This window comes from Homo sapiens, chromosome 1, assembly GCF_000001405.40.
Source record: "Homo sapiens chromosome 1, GRCh38.p14 Primary Assembly".
Lineage (NCBI taxonomy): Eukaryota > Metazoa > Chordata > Mammalia > Primates > Hominidae > Homo > Homo sapiens.
In genome coordinates, this window is record NC_000001.11 from 200,114,026 (window position 1) to 200,140,660 (window position 26,635).

Here is a 26,635-nt window from a genome sequence, read left to right on the forward strand (position 1 = left end):
CAAAAAAATTAGCCTGGCATGGTGGCATGCGTCTGTGGTCCCAGCTACTTGAGAGGCTGAGGCAGGAGAATCGCTTGAACCCGGGAGGCAGAGGCTACAGTGAGCCAAGATCGTGCCACTGCACTCCAGCCTTGGCAACAGAGCAAGACGCCATCTCAAAAAAAATAATAGAAAAGAGGTGGAAGCTAGAAGATATATATATATATATACACACACACACATACACACAAATATATCTACATATATACATATATATACACATATATATACACACACATATATATGATATGAAAGTTGAAGGAGGCAGAAAAAAAAGAAAAAAAGAACTGCTTCCTGTTATGTTTATAATCCAATAACAATTGAGCTGTGGTTAGAGTATATTTTCTTCACTAGTGCAGACCATGTGCTCTCTGGTGTGTGTGTGTAAAATTCACACATACAGGTGTAATTTAGAATTGGAACAACCTGTTTTCGTGTCTCCATTCCAAAACTTCCTGGCTGTGTCATATTTAGCAAGTCGCTTTACCTTTTGAGGTTCAGTGTCCTCACCTGTCCAGTGGCAACTATGATGTTATCTACCAGAGAGAATTGCAGTAGGAATTACAGGAAGTATTCTGTGAAATGCTGACACAAAAATTAGAAGTCATCAAAACTAGGCCAGCGCAAGGGTGACATTTATGGAGTCAACAACCCCACGAAGAAAGGACTATTATCCCTCTTTGGCAGATGAGGAACCAAGGCAAAGAAAGATGAAGTGGTTGATTCAAGGTCAAGACCCATCTAGTAAGTGGCAGAACAGATGGTCAGATCGAGGCCAACTAGTGCTAGAGTTTGTGTTCTTTACCAACATGCCATACCGTTTATCTGATTAACTCACAGATGCTGCAGAGCTTGCCTTCACGCCGGCATTTAATATGGTCTTCATGTGTAATTCCAGTGCATGACAGACTCTATGGAAATTCCAAGCAAAACAAATTCATTTCCTTTTTTATTGAGACTAAATGGATATGCTTTTTTTGTGGTTTAGTTAGTTAGTAGTTTGTTTTTGGGGGAATTTTCTATATGGCATTGTAAGCACATTGTTACAGTAGATTTAAGTTATTCACAAGCAATTTTAATGTGATTGTTGCTTAGTGTTATGAAATTATTTTAATATTAAGAAAAAACTAAAACTATGAAAAAATCACTCATAATGCCACCACTTGAATCAACTTTTTGTTGAATTCTCTTCCAATCTTTGGGGGAAAACATGTATCTTAAAAGAGGATTTTTCTCATTTTTCTAAATAAAATAACTCGCCTGCCCCAGAGACATATTGACCTGCTATCATGGATTTGTGTGGAATGTGAACTTTCAAACACTGCTAGAAGTGTGTTTCCATGAAGCACTGTATTGAGGCCATGTTGTTGATATCATGGGAAAAAGTAAATGGTATTACCCCAATACAGCATGCAAAATTCCCCTAAAGGCAGCTTGGTACTCACTTGTAGGAGATAAATACATTTTTTAATTTAGTTAAAACAAATGCTTCTGATGGCCTGATAAATGAAGGGAAATCAAAGATGTAAGGGGAAAAACATTAGACACAGCTCTGCAGCCAATAGTGATAAGAGGCATAATTCATCCACCTAATTAATGACTGCCCTTTGCATAGTGCTTTTCACTGTGTACTTTCACAGGTAAGCCCCATTACACAGGGTCAGAGAAAGTGCGGGGAAATTTCAGAGGAGGAAGTGCAAGGAGAATAAGATGGGTGTTCTAAGCTGTCCAGATGATTCAGCTTCTATAAGGAAGTGCCTTACCCCTAAAGTGAGGATATTTGATTGTACTCTCCTTTGTAAGTTGAGGAAAACACCATTGCTTAAAATCCTTCTAGGTCAGAGGAACAGTGACAGGCAATTACTAGATGAAACTTTAACTAAACTCGCCACCTTTTTCAGCCTCAGCCAGAAGAAATACAATTCACTCATTATAGATTTCCAGGTTTACTTACAGTATTTTCTCAACTGCCCTGTTGAGAAAATGATTACTTCTGAAACAAATGAAAATGTTTATACTGAGTATTTTGAGATTGGCAAATAGGAATATTAAATATGCCTCAGTCCACAATATCAGGAATGAAGTCCCAACACAAAGGGAACACCAGACAGTGATTTTGTTTCACCTTGAAAGCATGTATGTCATGTCTACACATTGCTTTATAGTGACCCTTTGGACAGACAGAGGAATGCAAGACCCCAGGTGTTCCGTAGCCCAATCTTCTGGCTTTTTCTTACTAAACACAGCTCACTGTAAATAATGTGGTGAATTTGTCATAGCAGAGAAAAAAGAAAAAGACTAGCCTGGATTTTAAAAAATGAGTGACTATCCAGGAAATTGCTCCTTGGAGCTTGAAAAGAGAAGAAATATAAAATAGCACAGCCTTTCTCTTAAGCCCAGTGGCTCACAAGTTTGCTTAATAAATGTTTGCAGAATTGAACTATGTCTGTTCATAGTTCATTCAGAACTAGAGAAACCAAAATAGCCCCACTGCAAAGAGCAGCCCAGGACACCAGTACATTGTATATTGAAATGAGGATTCAGTGTTTCACTTAACCCTGTAAGTTAGCTATTATGTTTTAATTGCGTCTTTGAATCAGGCATCTACATAAATGTATATTAAATAGCCTTGTTAAGCAAAAAGGAAATTATGATTATCAGTAATATTAAGCACTTCAAATGTTCTATATAGTCGCAACTTAGTTATGAAAAGAATTATTTCCTATCCAATATTTTAAAAACTACACACGCACATATGCACACATATATCTATGTATGTATAAAATAATAATGTACTTTGAAGTGGGGTCAGGTTTTAGTATTTGCATATTGTTGCTAATTAACAGCCACTGTAACATCATCCTAAGGGAAAGGTCTACTGGCAACTTATTATCTTCTATTATTGTGTATCATATTAAAATGACAGGCATCTTATAATATACAAGTCATCAAAATTTCAGTGATTAGAATTAAAAGCAATTTAGGTAAAACTGTTTTCTACTTTTTCATGATGAGTGAAATTTATCTAAAGGGGACATCAGTTTAGAGTATTGCTTCAATATCTCCCTTGAATTTAATGACACAAAGATTACATGTAAGAGAGCAAAAAATTAATTTTACTAAGTACATAAAAGACAAGGCCAACTGCTCCTGAAATGAGCACAAACTCTGCATTCAACAATGAAAATATAATTATGTTTGTAATAAAATGTAAGGAAGTTGGAGATCTGAATGTTGTTTCAAGAATAAATCACCTATCCTTCTTTAGAGCTGTGCAATTTGATAAATATCCTTGAAAGAAATGTTTTCTAAGCCCCCATTTAATAAGCATGTTTGAGCTTTCAAATTAGCATGTAAATAAATGTATAGTTATAAATTTGTTGGTAAACCAATTGATTTTTTGAGGTCCATCTCACTAAAGGTCTCTCACTAAATATATAATCCTATGAAACAGATTCCTTTCCGTTATAGTGTACTACATTTTCACATATGAAATTCTTGTATTTGAACTTATTATTATACACCTGTTAGAACTATACACAACAATATTTAATTAACTCCATCTTAATAATGGAAAATTAATACCAACATATTTGTGTTTCATTTTAGTATGGTCTTCCTGATTCAGGCCTTAACTAGTGATTTTTTTTTCTTTTCTTTTTTTTTTGAGAGAAGTCTTGCTCTTGTCCCCCAGGCTGGAGTGCAATGGCGCAATCTCGGCTCACTGCAACCTCCGCCTCCTGGGTTCAAACGATTCTCCAGCCTCAGCCTCCCAAGTAGCTGGGATTACAGGCACTTGCCACCACGCCTGGCTAATTTTTGTACTTTTAGTAGAGATGGGGTTTCACCATGTTGGCCAGGCTGGTCTCGAACTCCCGACCTCAGGTGATCCACCCGTCTCGGCCTCCCAAAGTGCTGGGATTAGAGGCATGAGCCGCCGCACCTCGCCTTTTTCTTTTTTTTTTTTTTTTTGAGACAGTCTCACTCTGTTGCCCAGGTTGGAGTGCAGTGGTGCAATCTCAGTTCACCGCAACATCTGCCTCCTGGGTTCAAGCGATTCTCCTGCCTCAGCCTCCTGAGTAGCTGGGATTACAGGCATGTACCACCACGCCCAGCTAATTTCTGTATTTTTAGCACAGATGGGGTTTCACCATGTTGGCCAGGCTGGTCTTGAAGTCCCGACCTCAGGTGATCCACCCACCTCGGCCTCCCAAAGCACTGGGATTACAGGAGTGAGCCACCGCACCTGGATCTTAACTAGTGGTATTTACTACAATATACTTTGTATATATTAAGCTACAGCTACAGCGCATTCCGTTGATTCCAAGCTTAAATTGTTAATCTTGTCCCATCTATGATTCTTGATAATCATAGAAGTGAGAGGTACCTTATTATCATCACCTAACTTAACTGCCTTACTTAAAGATAAGGACACCAAGGGATGGAGATTTATACGTACTTGTCCAAGGCTCTTCGTTTGTAAGAGGCAGCATTGGCTCGGGTCTCTTACCTAGTCTCTGGCTTTTGCCACCACTGTTGTACCATCAGGCCTTCCTGCTCTCATTCACTCATCTATCCCATTAGTCTCAGTAAAATTTGTATTATTATTATCTGAAGTAGTTGACTATGTGCAGTTTTTAAAGAATTTATAGCATAGGCACCTTTTTAAAGTAAGGACTTTCCTTGAAGTAGAAAGTTCCCCTGTAAGAGAACTGGCAAAATGATAGTTGAGACGTCACTTTGTGTGCTCTGCAAATAATCCCAATGTGCCCCACAGAGTTCAACAGTGTGTCCTGCCTCCTTCCAGCTCAGGGTTCAGGTTGCCCAGGTACTGACCCTTCTTTCACACATTCTGAAACAGAAACCACAGGAGTTCTTACAACACTTGATGTTTAAATTTAGTGCGTAGATGCCAGCACCTGGCTAAAGCAGGTAGACAGTGCTGTACATGATGCAAGAGCTTTCCTCTAACACACATTAACTGTGGCTTTTTCATGCATAGTTGACTCTATATAAACTGATTGACACCTTTGGGGGTCATCTTTCCTCTGACTCATAATTTTTCTCACTCTTGAAAAAGGTTTCTGTACACCCAGTATTCTCTAGTTAAAGCTGAAAATTCAACTCATCATATTTACACAATAAAAAAAATCCATTCTGCCTTGTTTTTAATTGCAAATTCTACTCAAGGGACTAGTTCTCCTGCTTAGGAGGCAGCCCTGTGCCTTCTCCTAGAGAAGCAAGTGCAGTCAATTATGGTAATGAAATGTCAATAAATATAAAAATTTAATACAGTCTGCTCTGGGTGAGTGGCAGATGAGGACTTGCCTCCCAGACAAATTTGCTGCTGCTGCAAATATTAAATGCACCTAAAAGAGTATCTGGTTGCCTGAGAGCTCTCCAGTAAAAAAAGGATGGGAGCGTCAGGTACCAACTGGGCTTTCCCATTATGCTGTAATCGCAGCAGCAAAGCCAGTGCTATCACTGACAGCCATCCCAACATCTTAACTTGTTATAAATTGAACTTCTTATGTCCCCATGAATAATCTAAGATTGGTGCCTAGCAACACTTTTTTTTTTGAGACGGAGTCTGGCTTCTTCCCCCAGGCTGGAGTGCAATGGCACGATCTTGGCTCACTGCAACCTCCGCCTCCCAGGTTCAAGCAATTCTCCTGCCTCAGCCTCCCCAGTAGCTGGGATTACAGGCACATGCCACCACGCCCAGCCAATTTTTGTATTTTTAGTAGAGATGGGGTTTGGCCTTGAACTCCTGGCCTCAAGCGATCCGCCCACCTCGGCCTCCCAAAGTGCTGGGATTACAGGCATGAGCCACCGTGCCCGGCCAGCACTTTTTTTTTTTTAATGAAAAGGGAAATAAGCCTTTTCTTTTTTTGCTTCCAGACAACGGAATTATTCTCCTAAATAAAGTTATTGCTGTCTTTAGAGAGAAACACATTAATCTGATGTAATCTAATGTAATCATCTGAGAATAGCAGTTTTATGTCATGCTTTTTAGGAAACAGAAAACTAAAGAATAATTTATTTGTATTTATTTTAAATTTTTAAATTAACACTTCTGCTGTTCTATAAAGAATAATTTAAATGTGATTCTTTCATCATCCACAAACATCCAATCTTGAACTATGATTACTTTAAAATGTAGTCTCATAATACAAGTAGAAATATATCTGCCTTTATTTTCCTCATGCACTAGTTAATATTGTATATACATAGAACACTCTCCTGGATTCACTTTTCATGGACAGTATGTTTTTCTTTCACCTTATTCATGAGAGTTAAAATTTTTTATCTTATGTGATGATGTAATTTCATAATATAAAAAAGGCATATATACTTGAAAAATTTAGGTAGCCAAAACCTCTTTCCTACAAAGCTTATCAAAAGTGATTATATTTATCAGACATAGTAATTCTGATGCATTTTAGAATCATGGAATGTGCCTCAAACTACTTGCATGGGGAAAATCCCTTCTGTTATCAATCTGTATTGTGGCCAGGCATGGTGGCTTGGGCCTGCAATCCCAGCACTTTGGGAGGCCAAGGCCAGAGGATCACTTCAGCTCAGGAGTTCAAGACCAGTCTGGTCAAATAGTGAGACCCCACATCTCTATTCTATTTTAAAAACCTGTATTGCAATCTGATTTTACCCATAGTTCTTACGACTCAGGTGAAATACATATTGCTGATTCTGATAGTCCTTAAAACTGTGATTCTGTATTGCAGGTGGACTATTCCATAATAGCATCACAAGCCGGAGCCACCCTCAACAACCTCATGAGTCATGCACAGGAGTTAGTGGCAAAACTTCGTTCTCTCCAGTTTGATCAACGAGAGTTCGTATGTCTGAAATTCTTGGTGCTCTTTAGTTTAGGTAAGAAATCCTTTTCTCATGCTGTGCTCAACCAACGATTGCTAAATGATGTTGAAGTTCAAATATCTTGTGGTCCATGTATGTTTTTGTTCTATCAATATAATGCCCTTCCTGTCAAATTATGAAATCTTCAAACGTGAATATATTTTCATATATATTTCTGCATGATGCATAGCCCTTCAGTGGATACGTTGGGGAATGGAAAATGAGTTATTCAATTGACTCATTCAAATGAGTCCTGGTTTTTCTTCCATAATATACAGATAAGCAATAACCAAATAAAGCTATGACAAAGGTTTAAAACAGACAGCTTAGGAAAGATGTATGGTATCAAATTTTAGCCATCTTTCTCCCATTGGTAATTTCTATGTGCCTTTCGTTTCAACTTGCTATTTACTTCTGTTTTTATTCTTCTAAAATATGAATCGTAATTAAAAACCTGTATTTAAATCTCTATCGGGATTAACTAGAGAATGTTTATAACCAGATGCACCACTATGCAAGTACAAAAGATGACAGTTGTCAAGGGGAAAGGATGATTCTTTAGGAAAGCTTTGGAAAAGAAAGATAACTAAGCAAGACAGATTAGCTAAATCAAGGTTCTCAGTGAGTCAGTTGAGAAAAATCACCACAGCTTGGAATAAAAAAAGGATTAAGGAGATGGATTTTTATTGACTTCAAAGGAACAGATTTTCCTGTCTGTCCCTTACTTGATTTCTGTATTTTGTTGGCTTAATAAAGCCAACTTAAATAAACTTTTTGCCAAGTCCATTTATTACTTATTGGCAGACAGCTGAGGGAGGCAACTTCCCTTGAATGAAAAAAATGCAGAAATCAGATTCACCAACATATGTTTTTTCTTTAGTCTTCAGTTATAAGATAGTTGTGAATTCATATTCTAGGGAATAAAACAATAAAACAAACTGCAAAGTAAAACAGATGTGTCTACTCTCCAAATTTGGTACTTTATTTTTAAAATTCTTCTTGACAGGACTGCACAACTGTTGCTAATAAAGGGGTAGTTTGAAGTAATAGAACCAGAGTTAATTTTTCATGTATAGTCAACATTTAAAATAAAAAGAGCATTTTCATATTTTGGAAAATGTGATAAATACAGCAAAAAGAAATGTTACTGAAAATTTAAATGGACAACAGAATTTCATGGATGTAACGTTCAAAGGTTTACAATGCCAAGACTGGATCCTGTGTGGTTTCTGTATTAACCACAATAAAAAGGAAAGTTCTGTTCAAGTAAGTCTGCATCTTTTACCCGAGAACAGTGTTTAGAATGTTAAAAAGGAAGATAGCAAGCATACGCCTGCTTGCTGTAATCGCACAAATTATTCTGGTTTATGTTAAGATCTTAGTCTTTTAAACTAGTGCATTTGATCACTAATTAAATGGAAAATGTGGTAATATATGTATAAGAAACTGTATAGCATCTTAGTGATAAAATATTTACAGGGTCATCTCATTTCAATGGTATTTTAAATTAGTTGAAGAAATGTATTACATTTGAAGATGTACATATTAACCATGAGCCATCTTTAGTTTTCAGCACTTTTAACTTTCCTTCATCATCTTCCAAAATTATTATATTCTCTGCTAATACTATAAGGAGGGGGTTGGGCTAGATCTGAGATGCTTTCAACTTTTGAACCTCAAAAATTATCTTCCTGAACAACTGGGCCATGTATTTACCAGAACTTTAGTCATACACTCTGATGTTTAATGAGCACTTCGATTGTTTCAGGAGCCCAGTACACCAGTGAATAGCTGGCCTAAATGTCCATTAAATCCATGTCTATTTGTTGCTTAAGGAAGAAAGGAAAGCATGGCTTTCAGATCAGAGGCAAATAGAATTCTGGCCGAGAGTCTATTTTTTTAGAGAAGCAGGAGAAAAGTAACCAGTAGTAAAATTCAAGTAGTTTCTAATTTGTGAGTGGAAAAACTTTTTACTCTGTAGAAACAGTGGCTAATCAATTTTTTGAATTTCACCTTTATTGAGGTATATAGATAATTAACTTTAGGTGCCTCAGCTAGCCCCAAATGCTGGTTTTACCTGTGATTAAGGGTGAAATCATACCAGAGTCACTCTTGAAAGTTAAGGCCAAGTCCTAAGCTGGTACCTGCTGTCCCAGATGCTCCTCCTGAGCCTCGAGTCCCCTGAGTCTGAAGCCTGCTATATTTTTGTCTCAGCCCAGCCTTGAGACTCTTTGGTCCTGGAGAAAAATGAAGATTCTGTGGACTAGTCAGAGGCCAGGGTCTATTCTGAGAGATGACTGCAGCAGTATTCTCCTGTGAGAGATGAAACAGTGTTTTCCAGATAGATTTGGTGAGAGAAGGTGGGATGTGGTCCCAAGCGGGTGCAGCGTTCCAAGCTAGAAGCACTACCAGTGTGAAAGCTTAAAGGCAAGAGAGAGCAAAATGAGTTTGGGGAACTGTTAGTTGATGGATACGGCTTGAGGGAAGCAGCAGATGTGGCTGGAGACATAGACAGGAGCCTGGACATGGACATGAAAGCCACAGATGCATTCAACACATACTCATTGAGTGCTTACTATGTGTCCAGCACTGAAGAAGGCACTGGGGCTATAGTGGCAAGAAGAAGTAAGTGCCATGGCTTTCATTCTCTAGACAATTAGGAAGTATAGCAGTGTTCTTAAGGCGACGGGGATGCGGTGAATAACTTAAGTCGATTTGCCTTTCTGGTAGCAGCATGGAAAGTGGACTGGACCAAGAACAGTGCTAGAAACCCTGTTTTCAGAAGTTTTATTTTTATTTTACTTATTTAATTTTTTTTTTTTTTTGCTTTTATTCCTGGCATGCTGTGATTTATTTTTAGAGGTGGTTTTTTTTTTTTGAAACGGAGTTTCACTCTTGGTGCCCAGGCGGGAGTGCAATGGCATGATCTCAGCTCACCACAACCTCCGCCTCCTGGGTTCAAGTGATTCTCCTGCCTCAGCCTCCTGAGTAGCTGGGATTACAGGTGCCTGCCACCACACCTGGCTAATTTTTTTGTATTTTTAGTAGAGACGGGGTTTCTCCATGTTAGCCAGGCTGGTCTCGAACTCCTGACCTCAGGTGATCCACCTGCCTTGGCCTCTCAAAGTGCTGGGATTACAGGTGTGAGCCACCACGCCTGGCCTAGAGGTGGTTTTAATACTCCATGTGGTTGGACTGAGATGAAGGATACAAACCAGTTATAGGTTTCAAGCCACAAGATGTGGCAGAGTTGAGAGGGAAAAGTCTAGGGTGTGTTTGGGGCTTCTGGATGTCTAGCTGGAATAGAAACATCTACAGGAACAGTAACTGATCAGTTGATTCAAAGCGGGTCCCAATAGCAGTCATCACTTTCTAATCTAAAAGTCATTCTTCACTAAAGTTTGTTACTGCTGACACAAAAAGCTCATGACAGGACTCAAAAGAAAAGTACAGTGGACTCAAGTCCTTCTAGTTTGCTCTCTGACGTTTCCCCCCTCAGATTGTATCCATGAGCAGACATCAGTTGGGTAAGCTGGTCAAGAAAGGAAATAAGTAAAAAATGCCCTCTCAGCACATTTCTCTGTGTATAACATCATAGATTCTGTAGGCCCAATCTCTGTTAGTTGTTAGTTTTAATGTTTTCTTTACATTTCTAGCACAATGCTTGGTACATAGTAGGGACTTACAAAATGTTTACTGATAAAAATAAATAAATGGGCCAGGTATGGTGGCTCACACCTGTAATCTCACCACTTTGGAGGCCAAGGTGAGAGAACTGATTGAGCCCCACGGGTTTGAGACCAGCCTGGGCAACATAGGGAGACCCCATCTCTACAAAATAATTAGCCAGGTGTGGTGGCAGACACCTGTGGTTTCAGCTACTTGGGAGGATGAGGTGGGAGGATCAGCCAAGATCGTACTACTTCACTCCAGCCTGGGCAACGGATTAAGATCCTGTCTTAGAAAATTAAAAAATAAAAATAAACAAATAGTTTGAAACTTAAAGCGAAGCCTTTACCGAAGCAACTCGTGATAGGTAATAGGAGGTGGTTTAGCTAAAAGCCGTATTCAAATACAGGTTATTTTTCAGAGACCACTTTTTCCAAAGAACTCTCTAATAAATAACTCCTCAAAATTAAATTATTTCTGTTATCAGTTTGCATTCTCCCAGTTTATGAGAGGAGATGTTTATTCATAAGCTCTTTGGGAAAGCTAACGTGAAGAAAAATTAGAAAGAATATTACTGACTAAAACCAGGTGGCAAATGCATTTCTGTTCCAAGCAAATGCAAGATGATAGGCTTTCAGCCCATGTTAAGTAATAGTAGTTAAGACAATGTTGTACAATTCTTTCTTGGCATTGATACAATCCTGTTTCCAGCAAAATGAATGGAGAAAATGTTATATTTGTTCATCATGATAGCTCTTTGCTTCATACTAAACTTCCAAATTTTGAATGTGACATTTGATTATACACATCCCAGGTAAGTTTTGTCCTCATGGAGACAAACACCCCAGGGAAGATGGGTTATGGTTGCCTCAGGGAATGACTCAACTGGCCCAGACAGAAAAGCTACTGCATGCTAAATGTCCTCACCAGCCTGTCACCTGATCCTCATCTGCAGAGAAGCAACGGGCATAATTCAAGAACAAAACTGATTGAAGAGTTGCTTGTTTCATCCACAGGTTCAGTTCAGGCATTCTGTAGTGTCTAGTCATGATTTCTTTATCTTAAAATAATTAAGAACATTATCTTAAATTATAAAAGGTCATCTAAGCAAGTACTATAATGTCTCAGAATAAACAGTATTGTTTATTAATAAAAAATGTGACTTGAACACAAGTTGAAAGGGATTTTCAAAATGGATGGGTAAGACCTTCAGGGCTTGAAAGAACTTTATTTTATTATTTATTCTTCTTAATTTTAGAGACAGGGTCCTGCTCTGTTGCCCAGGCTGGAGTGTAGTGGCATGATCATAACTTTCTGCAGCTTCTAACTCCTAGGCTCAAATGATCCTCTCGCCTCAGCCTCCTGAGTAGCTGGGGCTACAGGTCACACTCATTGCCTGGCTAATTTTTTAATTTTTTTATAGAGACAGGGTCTCACTATGTTGCCCAGGCTGGTCTCAAACTCCTGGCCTCAAGCAATCCTCCCTCCTTGGCCTCTCCAAGTGCTGGGATTGCAGCCATGAGTCACAACATCTGGCCCTCCCTTGAAAGACCTTTAAAATCATAATTTGGAAGGAAAAAAACAGTATTTCTAAGGCAGAGCAGAACATTTTTCTCTTTGTTGTGGCTACTTTAAACTGTATAAGTCTGACCCCAAACAAAGTTGGGGGCAGGGCTCTATGGTTGTTCTGGTTTTCTCTTTTTATTCTTTTATTTTTTCTGTGCTAAGTGAAATGTTCTTGTTTTCTTAGTGAAGCAAAGTTCTTTTATCTGTCAAATTAATAAACTGTAAGGTTCATGAACACAGTGTATGTTTTACTCCTCATGTACTGCCTGGCATATAGGCTTTTAATAAATATTGCTTTCATGAATGAAAGAATGCCTTTCCTCCCAACTTCTAGATTAAAAAGAAAAAAATAATGGGAATTGAAAATAATTAGCTAAAAAAAATGCAAGCACAAAATTTGAAGAAAGAGAGACTAGAAAACAGATTCTATGGATAACTATTAGAGGATTTGGCATCTTCTTTTCCCCTTTAGAAAGTAGGGAGATAAGTCTTCACATTATGAAGGGGATTTTTTTTTTTTTTTTTAATTTTTAGTACAGACGAGGTCTCACTATGTTGCCCAGGCTGAACTCCTCAAGTGATTTGCCTGCCTCAGCCTCCCAAAGTGCTGGGATTATAGGCATGAGCCACTCTGCCTGGCCTATGAAGGGGATTAGTATAAGTAATGTAGAGACTAAACTGAGTCCCTCCTCTTTGCAAATAAAATAATAAATGAAATTAATTACTGATGATCAGCATTTAGGTTCTATTTGAAGTTGTAACACTAACAGTGTCAAACACCAAAATGAGCCATAGAAGGAAGTGGTGGTGATGCTTTTCTTCAGTAATGTTAATAATAAAATGTCCTCAGGTGAATAAATCACTTAGTTTCTCTCTTACAGAATGAAGAGACCTAAGAGAACATTCTCCTCCAGTTTTGTAATTAAAAAAACAAAACTAGATGATTTATCCAACATTTTAGGTTCAGATCCAGGTCTAGAACTAATAACCCCAAATGACAGTCAGTACTTTTTCTGATTCAGCCTACTTTCCTCTTCGGAGACATTGGATCTCATCAATGAGCATATTAAAAATACTGTGTAAAGAAGACCTTTGAAGACACAGGTTTGAACTGTGTGGGTCCACTTCTGCTCAAAATTTTTTTTTCAATAAATACAGTCAGCCCTCTGTAGCTGCAGGTTCTGTGTACAAATGCAAGTCCAAAATACAGTATCCAAAAGGCCGGGTACAGTGGCTCATGCCTGTAATCCTAGCACTTTGGGAGGCCAAGGCGGGTGGATCACCTGAGGTCAAGAGTTTGAAACCAGCCTGGTCAACATGGTGAAACCTCGTCTCTACTAAAAATACAAAAATTACCCAGGTGTGGTGGTGGGCACCTGTAATCCCAGCTATTTTGGAGGCTGAGGCAGGAGAATCACTTCAACCCAGGGGGCGGAGGTTGCAGTGAGCTGAGATTGTGCCATTGCACTCCAGCCTGGGCTTCAGAGAAAGACTCTGTCTCAAAAAAAAAAAAAAAAAAAAAAAAAAAAAAAAAATATATATATATATATATATATGGTATCCATCAGATGCAAAATCCACATATACAGAGGGCTGACTTTTCAGATCTGAAGGTTTCACAGGGTAGATGGCAGGACTTGAGTATTTGCAGATTTGAGTATAGGCAGGGGTCCTGGAACTGATCCCCCTTGTATACCAAGGGAGGACTGTACTTACTAAGACACTATTTATTTATTTATTTATTAAGGCAAAATGATATAAGAAATTAGGACAGTCATCTGAAGAATGTGGACAAAAATAAAAGCAATATCTATTGGTAGAAGCAGAGAAATACTTCACCTGAATTTCCAATTTTTATTGAATATGCTAAGTAATTATATAGCTCTTAATTCACTCAGTTTCTAAATACCGTCATCCCTCAGTATATGCAGGGAATCAGTTCCAGCACCCCTGTTTATACCAAAATCTGCACACACTCAAGTCCCGCAGTCGGCCCTGCAGAACCCGAGCATACAAAACATTGGTCCTCCATACAGGCAGGTTTCGTATCTGTGAATACTGTGTTCTTATCTGTGTTTGGCTGAGAAAAGTCTGCATAAGATGTGGACTCACGCAGTTCAAACCTGTGTTGTGCAAGGGTCAACTGGATATTGTCAGTTTTGTTTTTCTCTATGTGAACTCTGGGTTTCAGAGCTCCAGCAAGCTCCCAGAATGCATTTGCCTCACAGCTTTGGTACCTCTTTCTTAAAGACTTCCTCCTTGTAGCTGATTGTCACCTCTTAGGTATGACGTTTTCTTTGGACCATTCACTAGACATTAGGAAAGCCAAATGATCATAGCTTTCGTTATATATATGTCTATTTTAGGATGTATTTTAACTGCTTGTGATGGTAAAAGGAAAAATAATAACAAAACAAATAGTCATTCTTTTCCCCTCTGACAGTCACTGGCATTAAAAATCCTAAAGTAGCCAATTGCATCTCTAAGATTTAGGTGGACGAGCTCCCTGGGGCAGGGCAGGGTGGAGTGGGGGTGGTGGGCAGGCAGAGAGGAGTGTAGTAAGTTTGTACATTCTGTTTTCAAGTACAGCCGTCCGCTTTCCTGAAGGGTTCAATCATAACTCGGCTCTTGCAATATGACACTGACATTGTTAATAGTAAATAAAATGTTTACTAGCTGAAAGATTTGGATAAAAGTCTTTTAGATAGGGAAATTTATTTGCAGTGGTTAGTTTTCCAATAGTCTTTAGTTTCTGCTATAGGAATGTTTTTCTTATTTGAATTTTGTCCATTATTTCTTCTGCTTTGACATTTAAAGAAATATCTAATGCTTCTTTTCCCTTTACTTAAGTGTGTGCCATTTGTCCTCTGGCATTCAATATCAGAACCTGGCAGAGGTTTGCTGTCAAAGCTCCCTATAGAGTGGTTGGTAAGGCAACATGCAAATAGGGAGACTGGCCCCATACCCCAGGCCCAGTCAGGACCTCTGCCCAGAGCTTATAACTCCAGCACAAGCCATCATATATGGGAACTCTGTCTCATCACTTTTGAGACTCTCTCTCTCTCTGAATATATACACACACATACATACACACACACACTTCATTTGAAAATGAAGGCTTTATAAACAAGCCAAGAACTGCAGAGCAACTACTGATCTCACATCTCACTTAAGAGACAACAGAGATTTGTAGGAATAGCAAACATTCAGCCATTAAGTGAGGCATACAAAAGGCTGCTGTGTTAACATAGCCCAGAAAACCACGGCACTTCAATCAGAACGTCTTTCTCCTTGTCTGTTTTTCTTTAAAAGAGGACCCTTCCTTTTTGTCCGATAGGAAGTACTATTCTGAATCTACCAGCAAGGCTGGCATGTGCTCTCTTATAAAAGGAAAAGACTTCACCATGCATAGCCTCTTCACCCTAACTGCTCAGTTGTTTGCTACCCCTGGCAAGGATGTTCTAATTGTGCAGTGGAGGGTGTGAACTCGTTGCTTTAACTGCAGTTCCATTAGCTAATCGGAGTCCTGATGTCAGTGTGACATTGTGGTGTAAATCATGAAGGGGTTTTTCTGCCACTTCCTGTGGAGAGAAAACAGTTTTGCAGGATCACCTGATGATTGGCCATTGTGGGGTTGTCTTCTTGAAAAAGAAAAGTTGTTCTGACCTGGGCTGTGCTCAGGATGCCTACATTTTGCCTTTGCTAAGCGATGAACCCCCCAGAAAGGAAGTGTATGGGGGGCACTGTTGGAGTCTGAGTGCTCCCTTCCCTCAGCACTTCTGGAGAAGCCTGGAAATACTGTAGACACAGTTTTGGAGAAGAGAATTCAAAGGGCTTACAAAAGGAGAGTACTTTTTTGTCCACTTCTCTAGAAGAGGCACAGCAACTTGTTGAGTTTGTGTTGTGTTGTGTTGTTTTTCTGCCACCAAATTAGGTGTTCCTATTGTGTGGGAGGTGAAAAAGAGAGCACAAATCTATTAATAAGTAAAGCAACTGAAACAAAGGGAAAAATGAATCCCCATTTTGCTTTTTTGCAACATTACATCCAGTTAATAAAAGAGGCTTACAAATCCAACAGAGATCTGCTTGCAGGAACTAACTAGGAAGAAGAAGAAGAAGAAGAAGAAGAAGAAGAAGAAGAAGAAGAAAAAAAAAATCCAACAGAGAAATTTGATCACTGATTTAAATTGTGTTTGCAGTGCCTAAAGCAAGATGAACGATTCATTCACTGTAAGTCAGAAGGTGACAGTACCAGGTGTACCATTTGCTATATGGCAAATCTACAGCTGCTCTAGAAAGTGAAATAGCAGTGCCTGTTCTTATCCCTTAGTTGACTACCTCATCACTGGAAGTGCTGTAAGAGCTTCAGAAGGGTGGAAAACTAGTAAAAAATGTCCAATTGTGCATCAAAATTTATGCTTATTAATTCTGAAATAAGCATTATAGTCTAAACATCATAAAATTCTTTTTGCTTGGTAGCTGCATAAAAGTTGGTTTTGAAACAGCAAAACCTGATTTTCCTATTATGTGGCAATTCTCCTTCCTGAAGCTGGTCACAATATTTGCTTTATTGCTGGCTTCCTCTAAATATGATTACATACTCACCCACACACACACTGCCACTGGCTGGACTGCAAAGCCTAGTGAAGCAGAACATTTACCTCACATCTTTACCCAAGAGCATTGGTTAAATTGTTCTTCATGAAGTCAGATAAGCAAAAGAAATATCCCAGGGTTCTTCGTACAATTAGCATTCATTCTCAGTGTTTACCTTTTCATATGTAATATTCTAATTTAGAAAAACACTCACTAGACACTTGTCAAATAACTGCACATATCTTCATACTAATGCCTTGCTGATATATATGCACCTGAGGGTAATGCTGGCAAATAAGCATTTCCTAAAATTTATGTAATCATTTGAAATTCAGAAAGGATTGATTAGCATTCAAGAGATGCCACTGTTCAATATTTACACCATAGAGATTTGGCAGAAGCAAATAATGGCATATAAAGTTGATGCTTGTCTTAATTAAATGCAGTATAATAGGTGTTGTGGATTTTTTTTTTCTTCCAGTGAGCAAAGCAGTTTAGCAATGACCAGATGTAATTCATTTTGGAGTTCTAAGTTTGAACTTAATCAATATGAACTTACAGCCATGGAAGAAGTGATTATCATTTGTTATTTGCTGGCACAAGAATATAATTGCCTAAATAGCATTTATTTAAGCATATTTCTGAATACCTTATGCCTAAAAATATTTGTCATATTTTAGCTGTTAATGCTTATCTTGTCATTTTGCTAACTACTGCTATTTAGTGAGATGATTTTTCAGAGACATATTGGCCAGGCAAGCTAGGAATAACCAGCAAGAAAAATCAAGTGAGAATGCCATGTGCTCTTGGTTGATGTTTCTCGCTGCTTTAGCTGTGTCAACCACTCTGTTCAAATCTCAGAATAGAGTGGCTGTCTTAGTACCAGCTCAGAAGAGCGTAGTTGGTTAACGTGGTTAGCCCAGATGCTGCACTCTAGTGGACTCTGGACACCCCAGGGCCTCAGGTCTGTTCTACAATGGACCAAATCAGTGACTCACATCTGAGTCTTGCATTAGATCTTCTTTCTAGTTTACTGATAAAAATCTGATAAGTCTTATCTTGAGTTGTGGCTGTGTTTGGTTAAGAAGGTTAAATTTCAAACAGACCAATCCAAAGCCAGGAGAGAAGAACAAATAGAAGTACAAGGCCTCTCATCAGTATTGAAACATTAAATCACACAAAATATATTGAGTGGCCACTATGCAGAACCATTGTACTAGGCAAGCTATGAAATGACAACATAGAGTCTTTTTTTTGTTTGAGATGGAGTCTCTCTCTCTCCAGCTGGAGTGCAGTGGTGCAATTTTGGCTCACTGCAACCTCCGCCTCCTGGGTTTGAGTGATTCTCCTGCCTCAGCCGCCTGAGTAGTTAGGATTACAAGTGCCTGCTACCACCCCCGGCTAATTTTTGTATTTTTAGTAGAGACGGGATTTCACCATGTTGGCCAGGCTGGTCTCAAACTCCTGACCTCAAGTGATCTGCCCACCTTGGCCTCCCAAAGTGCTGGGATTACAGGTGTGAGCCAATGTGCCCGGCAAGAACTGGCAATATATAGTCTTTCCAAAGAGAAGGAAACTCCTGTGATACAGAGCTGCATTTTGGATCCCCAGGACACTGTTCTGAATAAGGCGTGGTACACCAAGCGAAGAGTCCAAAACATGCCATGCCATCAGCAATGCTGCATGCATCTCTTGTCTTTCTTTCTGTTCCTTGTTTTCACTGAACTAATGCACGTTCCACACACATGCTATTCTCCTTGATTACATTTTATTAATCAGAAAGCCTTTGTCAACCCCCATGTTACATAAATCTCACAGCAATCAGAGGCTTCATGCCTCTTCAGTTTCCCAACTCCTCTGAAAGGAGATGATTTTTCAGAGACATATTGGCCAGGCAAACTAGGAATAACCAGCAAGAAAAATCAAGTAAGAATGCCATGTGCTCTTGGTTGATGTTTCTTGCTGCTTTAGCTGTGTCAACCACTCTGTTCAACTCCTCTGAAAGGAGTTGGGAAACTGCATGGGATCACCTCCAGGAGCCTTAGCAAGGGGCACTGTCCCTAACACCCACATCCCAAGTTACCCAGATTTTGGACAGCACCAATGTGGCCTCAGCCCTGGAGGAACTGAGTCCCAGAACATCAGCATGGAAGAGAACCTATGCTGTTGCTGAATACAAACACGTCTTATTTCTGAGTAAGAAAATTTAAGCTAATGGAGGTTAAGTGACTTGTACACAGTCATGTAGAGTCAGGATTTGAACTGAAATTTTTGAACTCCACACGCAGGAAAAGAGCACAGATATGGATTTCTATATTACAGAAATAGTGCTTTTGCATTTGTTTCAAAATTAGACTTACTATTTCTTGGCCATCCTTTTCAACTAAATCTAAAATTTTCATTGTGAAGTGTAAAAGTGATTTCCCAGAAACGTGGGGAATGTACATTGCCTTTTGCTGCCTTAGGACTCAGCTGTGCATGCTGCATGCTGGGTACCCTGAACTTTGGAGGGCAGAATCTCTCCTACAGTCACTCACACTTTGACTCTCTCCACTTTACTCTGGGTACATGGAGCTCTGTGCCATCCATAAAGGTCAGTGTGTCCTGAGTGGCCATGCTGGACTCAAATTGGGCAATTCTGCCTAATCCCTCAGCAGGAATGATCATATTCATTTTGTCCTATCTTGGTTATACAGTCAAGCGTTATATAATGATGTTTTGGTCACTGATGGACTATATATATATATATATATATACACACACATATATATATATACACATATATACACACATATATATATACACATATATATACACATATATATATATACACATATATACACACACACACACACGTATATATGTACATATATACATTATATATATATGGTCATATATATGATAGAAGACTATAATGGAGGTGAAAAATTCCTATTGCCTAGTATTTACCCTACTATATACTTTGAAGTTATTTTAGAGCATATTCTTTATACCTATGTATATAAAAGAAAACTTACTATAAAGTAGCCTCAGGCAGGTCCCTCTGGGGGTATCCAGAAGAAGGTATTGTTATAGGAGATGACAGCTCTATGTGTGTTATTGCCCCTGAAGACCTTCCAATGGGACAAGATATGGAGGTGGAAGACAGTGATATTGATGATCCTGACCTTGTATAGGCTTAGAGGCTAATGTGTGTGTTTGTGTCTTCATCTTTAACAAAAAAAGTTTAAAAAGTAGATAAATAAATTTAAAAATAGAAAAAAGCTTATCGAATAAGCATATAAAGAAAATTTTCATACAGCTGTACAATGTATTTGTGTTTTAAGCTGTGTTATTACAAAGAGTCAAAAAGCTTAAAGAAATTGAAAAGTTTATAAAGTAACAAAGGTATAGTAAGCTATGGTTAATTTATTACTGAAGAAAGAAAAATATTTTTTATAAATTTAATGTAGCCTATGTGTACACTGTTTATAAAGTCTGCAGTAGTCTACAGGAATGTCCTGTACCTTCCCACTCACTCACCACTCACTCACTGACTCACCCAGAGCAACTTCCAGTCCTGCAGTCTCCACCTATGATAAGTGCTCCATACAGGTGTGCTATTTTTTATCTCATAGACTGTATTTTTACTATACCTTGTTTTCTATGATTAGATGCACAAATATTCACTGTGTTACAACTGCCTTCGATATTCAGTACAGTGACACGCTGTATAGGTTTGTAGCCTAGGAGCAATAGGCTTTACCACATATCCCGGGTGTGTAGTAAGTTTGTGTAAGTACACTCTATGATGATCGCGCAACGAAATCACCTATCAGTGCACTTCTCAGAATGTATCCTTGTCATTAAGCAACACATGACTGTGTATATAAGAATTGATAGCACACCTGAAATAATCCTTTCTCTGTACCATTTATCCCAAGAGAAAGTAATTATTATAGTAGTGTTAATACTGCTAACATCTATGTAGGAATTTTTAAGTGCAGATTTATTTAATTTTTAATTTTTAAAATTGTGATAAAATCTACATGAGATTTACCATTTTAACAATTTTTAAGTATGCAGTTTAGTGGCATTAAGTCCACACACATTGCAACTGTTACCACCATTTGTCTCTAGAACTTCCTGTCTTCCAAAATTAAAACTGTGCTTATGAAACAGTAAATTCCCAATTCACCCACTGCTCAGCCCCTGCAGCCGTCATTCTGTTTTCTGTGGAGAACATTTTATTTACAAAGTACCCTATTCTTATAACATTATCCTTTACACATAACACAACATTGAAAGTTTAGTGATTTTATAATACAAAATGTGACTGGACTCAGCATGGCTAACGTGCTCATGACCACACAGCTAGGCATCTGAGAGAGCCCATGCTCCAAGCCAGGGCCACTGATTCCAGATCTGCTGTCGTCACTCACAGGCAAGGAAGTCTTTTGACTTGGGGCCTGAAATAATAAAGCATGAGGCCAGGTGCAGCGGCTCACGCCTGTAATCCCAGCACTTTGGGAGGCCGAGGCAGGTGGATCACCTGAGGTCGCGAGTTCGAGACCAGCCTAGCCAACATGGTGAAACCCCGTCTCTACTAAAAATACAAAAATTAGCCGGGTGTGGTGGCATGTGCCTGTAATCCCAACTACCCGGGAGGCTGAGACAGGAGAATCGCTTGAACCTGGGAGGTGGAGGTTGCGGCAAGCCAAGATTGCGCCCCTGCTCTCCAGCCTGGGCAACAGAGCAAAACTTCATCTCCAAAAAAAAAAAAAGAAGAAGAAGAAGAAGAAGAATGCATGAATGAGGAAAAAGAGAGGCGTTCATGACAAGTTTCTTACTATTGAGGTGATATGGCCTAATGGTGATGACTGCAAACTTGAATTCAGATTCTTGTTCTATTGTATCCTTAGGAACGTGTATCACCTCACTTTTTTCCATCTGTAAACTTGAAATAATAATGATCTACCTGAAGCATGATTGTGATGGTTACATGCAATAATTATTAGGAAGAACTTACCATAATGGCTGGCACATAGTATTAATAAGTGATTATTACTCAAAACATCTGTGAAAGTCATAGAAATGAAGGCTGCTTATCGGGAAATGCCTCTTCTCAGATACAATCTTTGGTTTACAGATTCTGTGAAAAAGATCTTTCTCACGTCAGCAATAACTGATACATTAATTCAGTACCAAGCCATAGTTTGAAATCTTTGATCTACTAACCAAAGGCATCATTATTATCCTTGATGTTTTGGAATATGTCAGAGTAAGCAGACTCAAGCCGCTTCACTTTAATTCATCTATCATAAATCCCAAAATCAAGCCAAGGTCTAATAATAAACAATTAGGCCTCTTCCTAGGTTGGTGCAGGCCCTAGATGATGAGAAAGTGGAATGGCTAGGCTCACACCTGCCCTCTGGGAATGCCTATGCTAGGAAGCTCTTCACTTTTTTCTTTCTTTTTTTTTTTTGGAGATGGAATCTCACTCTGTCACCCAGGCTGGAGTGCAGTGGTGCAATCTCTGCTCACCGCAACCTCCGCTTCCTGGGTTCGGGCGATTTGAACACACACAAGAAAGAGCACAGATAAGGATTTCACTTAACATCATGCCTGGAATAAAGTTCATATTAAAAAACAATACTCAGTATGTTCGATTATAATAGCTACATCTTATTGTCCTGTATGAGCAGAGTACATTATACCTGTTGTTTCTAATCTTCATAAGCAAGCCTTCGATGAAAGTATCATTTGCCATTCCTGTTTTACTGTCTTTCCCTAAGATCAGAGAAGTCAAACAACTATACAAAATTGCTGAGCTAGTAAGTAATAGAACTGGGATTTGCACACTTTAGTCATCAAAGTCTAGGTTTTCTCCACTATTCACTGCTACTTTTCTGGTTCATTGATTAAGTATGTAGATCAGAAGGCACTATACCAGTGCTTGTCATTTATGATGAAGCTAACCCATTCTAAATCTGATCCTTCTAGATCCTACTTGAAAGTACAAGGGCTGAGTAACAATCCTGCCTTCTTAAATGCTTAATAATTCCCCCTCATCAACATGCCATGGTTTCAGTCAGAGCTGCTTTCTATTGATCGGTTTCAAGAAGTATCACAGCTTTTATCACCACGGTCAGAAGCACTGCTGAAATTATAGGGTATTTAATCCCTTATGCTGGCCTACTTACTCTAAGCAGATTTTCTTTTCTTTATCTTTTTTTTGAGACAGAGCCTCACTCTGTTACCCAGGCTGGAATGCAGTGGTGTGATCCTGGCTCACTGCAGCCTCAACCTCCCTGGTTCAAGCAGTCCGCCAGCCTCAGCCACCCAAAGTGCTGGGATTACAGGCATGAGCCACTGTGCCTGGCCAGATTTTATTTTATTTATTTATTTATTTATTTTTGAGACAGAGTCTTGCTCTGTTACCTAGGCTGGAGTGTAGTAGCACAATCTCGGCTCTCTGCAACCTCTGTCTCCCAGGTTCAAGCAGTTCTCCTGCCTCAGCCTCCCGAATAGCTGATATTACAGGTGCACACCACCACACCTGGCTAATTTTTTTTTTTTTTTTTTTTATGTTTTTGGTAGAGACGAGGTTTCACCATGTTGGCCAAGCTGGTTTCGAACTCCTGACCTGAAGTGATCTGCCCACCTTGGCCTCCCAAAGTGCTGGGATTACAGGCGTGAGCCACCACACCTGGCCCAGATTTTACTTTTAATATGAAGAAACATCTGCTGTCTAAATTCCTATCCTCTTACAAATATTTACTGTGAACAGAATTTGATAATTGATTGAAAATCATTACCAGATTATTAGCCTAGATTATTAGCAGATTCTCCCTTTCCTAATATTGCCAGCATCAAACTCAATGGAGTGAAAGAAGAAGGAATGAAGATTAAAACATGAATTTGTGTACGTTTTTAAGTATTTTAAGAATACCAAAATAAAAGTGTCATATGAATTTCTTAGTATGTTTCTGATATAGACAGGATAGAGTTTAGTAATTAGCAATTTCTTCTAATTTTTTTTAAAAAAAGTTTATTGTTGTTACTTGCTACAAGAAATTATGGGACAAATTGGATAACCACATGTGCTGGCATTTGTCCAGGACAGCCCATATCAAAAGGGATTGGGGTCCATGATACTGTAACAGTATCATTTCTAATTATAACTTCAAGGAAATTCCTCTCTCAAAGAGGTAGCTAAGAAACTTATTCTTGTCTTACAAAAGAATAGGGTTTTTAGGATTTAAAAACAGGTTGATGTGCCATTTTTCCTCCAACTTATGTATTTTAGATTCTATTTTGATTTTCACTGATCCATGGTATTTCGTTATATAATGTACCCCACAGTTTATTGATTCATTCTCCGATTGGTGGATATTTATTACAAACAATGTTAAAAGAACATTTTTCTCCATGTCTTCCTGTAATATATTGTTGGACAATCACTCTATTGTTGGACAATTACTTGCAACTCTAGAAACTGTCAAAGTGTTCTCCAAAGTAGCTGTACCAAATTACATTTCTAGGCGTAGTAAATGAGAGCTTCTATTTTTCCATGTCATCACCAGCACTATAATACAGATGCTGTCATTATTCTGTTTTAATTTGTATTTCTGATTACCAGTGATATTGAACATCTTTCTGTTTCTTTGAAGTACCTGTTTATCAATGTTTTTCCATATAATTTTTGCTTTTTAAATTTTCTTAAGAAATCCTTCCCAACCTTGGAGGTCTTAAAGTACATTCTCCTTTAATTTTTTTCCAAGTGTATTAAGGCCTTGCTTTTCTTAATATGAATCTTTAATGTCCAGAATTTAATTTTGTGTATGGTGTGAGGGGGAGATCTAGTTTTTATTTTATTTTTCTTAAGGGTAGTCAGTTTTTCCCACACTGCTTACTGAATCGCTTGTCTTTCCCACTGTTTTTAATGCCACCTCTCTTATGTATTCAAGATCTGTATATGTGTGGGTCTCTTTCTGGACTTTCTACTTTGTTCCTTTGGCCTATTTGATTATCTCAGTGCTAATCTCACATGTTTTATGCATTTTTATAATAAATCTTAATATCTGCTTGAGTAGTCCCTCCACCTTTTATTTCAAAATAGTCTTAATTAGTCTTAGGCTTTTGCTTTTCCACATGAATTTTAGGTTTGGCTTGCTGTTGTTCCACAAAGAACCCAGTGGGGTCTTGAGTAAAATTGCATTGTATTTAGAGATTAATTTGGAGAAAAATTATTTTCTTGGGAGTATTGAGACTTTCCCGTTCATGAACATAGTTCATCTTTCCTTTAGTCAGGTGTACTCTGATGTCCTTCAATAAAGTCATACAATTTTCTCCACAGAGGTATTGTACATCATTTGTTACTAATTTATTCTAGCTATTATATAGAGTTGGTTTTTATAATGCAAACCTTTTCTGTAGTTAATATCCATGTGGCTGGATATTTTTATATTGCATTTTTATTTAACAAATCTACTAAATGCCCTTATTATTTGAAATGGCTTTTCTGTAATTTATCTTCAACCTTCTGTGTAGACATTCATAGTCTGAAAATAAATACAGATTTATCTTTTGCTTTTCTGGATTCCATTTCTGATCTTATTTTGTTGGTTAGACAATATTGACTTGGTGTGATAACAGGTACTCTTGTCTTATTTCAGTCTTTTATAGGAATCATTCTAAAGTCAAATGACTTGATATGAAAAGTGTTGTCTATTTTAGTAGTCTTCTTTTTAGTAGAAAAAAGAGAAGAAGCTATTGATCTTGGAGAGAGATCCAACAGCTATTTTTTCTTTGCCTTTTATTTCAACAAATTATTCTCTTATCTTTTGTTATTTTATTGTTCTGGTTCTAGCTTCTTCAGTTGACGATTTTATTCATCTAATTTTCAGCCATACATTTTCATTGTTCTTTTGTTTTGTTTTGTTTTGTTTCTCATTTGATGAAAGCATTTAGTATTAGAAAGTTGCCTCTTGGCACAGCCATAGTTGTATTTGTGGAAGTTTTGATATTGGAGACAGACATTCAAGGCTGCTGTGGGTTTATGCAAGTCACTGTACAGAACTCTAGGGGGCACCACTCACACTATAGTATATATCAATGCATCCCTAAGAGTTGTGTGGTACACAACACCAGTAGCCCTGTCTGGTAGCCCTACGTCCAGTGCTAAATATTTTGTCATCTCGATTGTAATCGAGATTTATTTCACAATGGGTTTTAAAATTTCCAAACAAATGGAGGTTTTGATTATCTTTTTATTTTTGGATTATAAGATGATTTCACTATGAGGTTATGCATATTACTGAAACTTTCTTTTGATGTGATATTTAGTTAATTTTAATAAATATGGCATATATGACACAGTCTCAATTTTAGATGTCAGTATTTATTTCTTTATATCATTATTGATAAATTTGTTATATCTTCTGTGTAGATTATTTCTTTTATTATTATCGTGTGCTTCTTATTTTCTTTCTTTCTTTTCTTTTTATAGAGACAAGGTCTCACTATGTTGCCCAGGCTGGTCTCAAACTCCTGAGCTCAAGTGATCCTCTCGCCTCAGCCTCCCAAAGTGCTGGGATCACAGGCGAGCACCACCACACCTCGCCACTTATTTTCTTTTAATGTTTTGATCTTTTAAATCTGCTTTGTCTGATATTAAGAATGTTTTATCAGCTTTTTAAAATTAAGATTGACATCTTTTTTCCCATTCTCCTTGTTTTCTCCTGTTCAGTTGATTTAGTGGAGTTTCTTGTGTTTCTGTGATTTAGGTGGTTTTCCTGTAAGCAGCAGATGTCTATATTTTATTTGGCTTTTCTTTAATCTAGCCTACAATCCCTTTAAACTTTTAAATTTGAGATCATTTTAAATCTACAGGAAGTTGGATGTTAAG

At 38.2% G+C, this 26,635-nt stretch overlaps 1 protein-coding gene across 9 annotated transcripts in view; it reads left to right on the top strand.

Annotated features, from left to right (window-relative positions):
• The window catches only part of NR5A2 (nuclear receptor subfamily 5 group A member 2), a 149,706-nt gene that overhangs the window by 86,316 nt on the left and 36,755 nt on the right, over positions 1-26,635 (top strand). For all 9 annotated transcript variants that reach the window (NM_205860.3, NM_003822.5, XM_047416753.1 and 6 more), the window contains one exon: positions 6,783-6,930. In NM_205860.3, coding sequence (NP_995582.1) covers positions 6,783-6,930 — 148 coding nt within the window. The remainder of the gene's footprint in view (positions 1-6,782; positions 6,931-26,635) is intronic.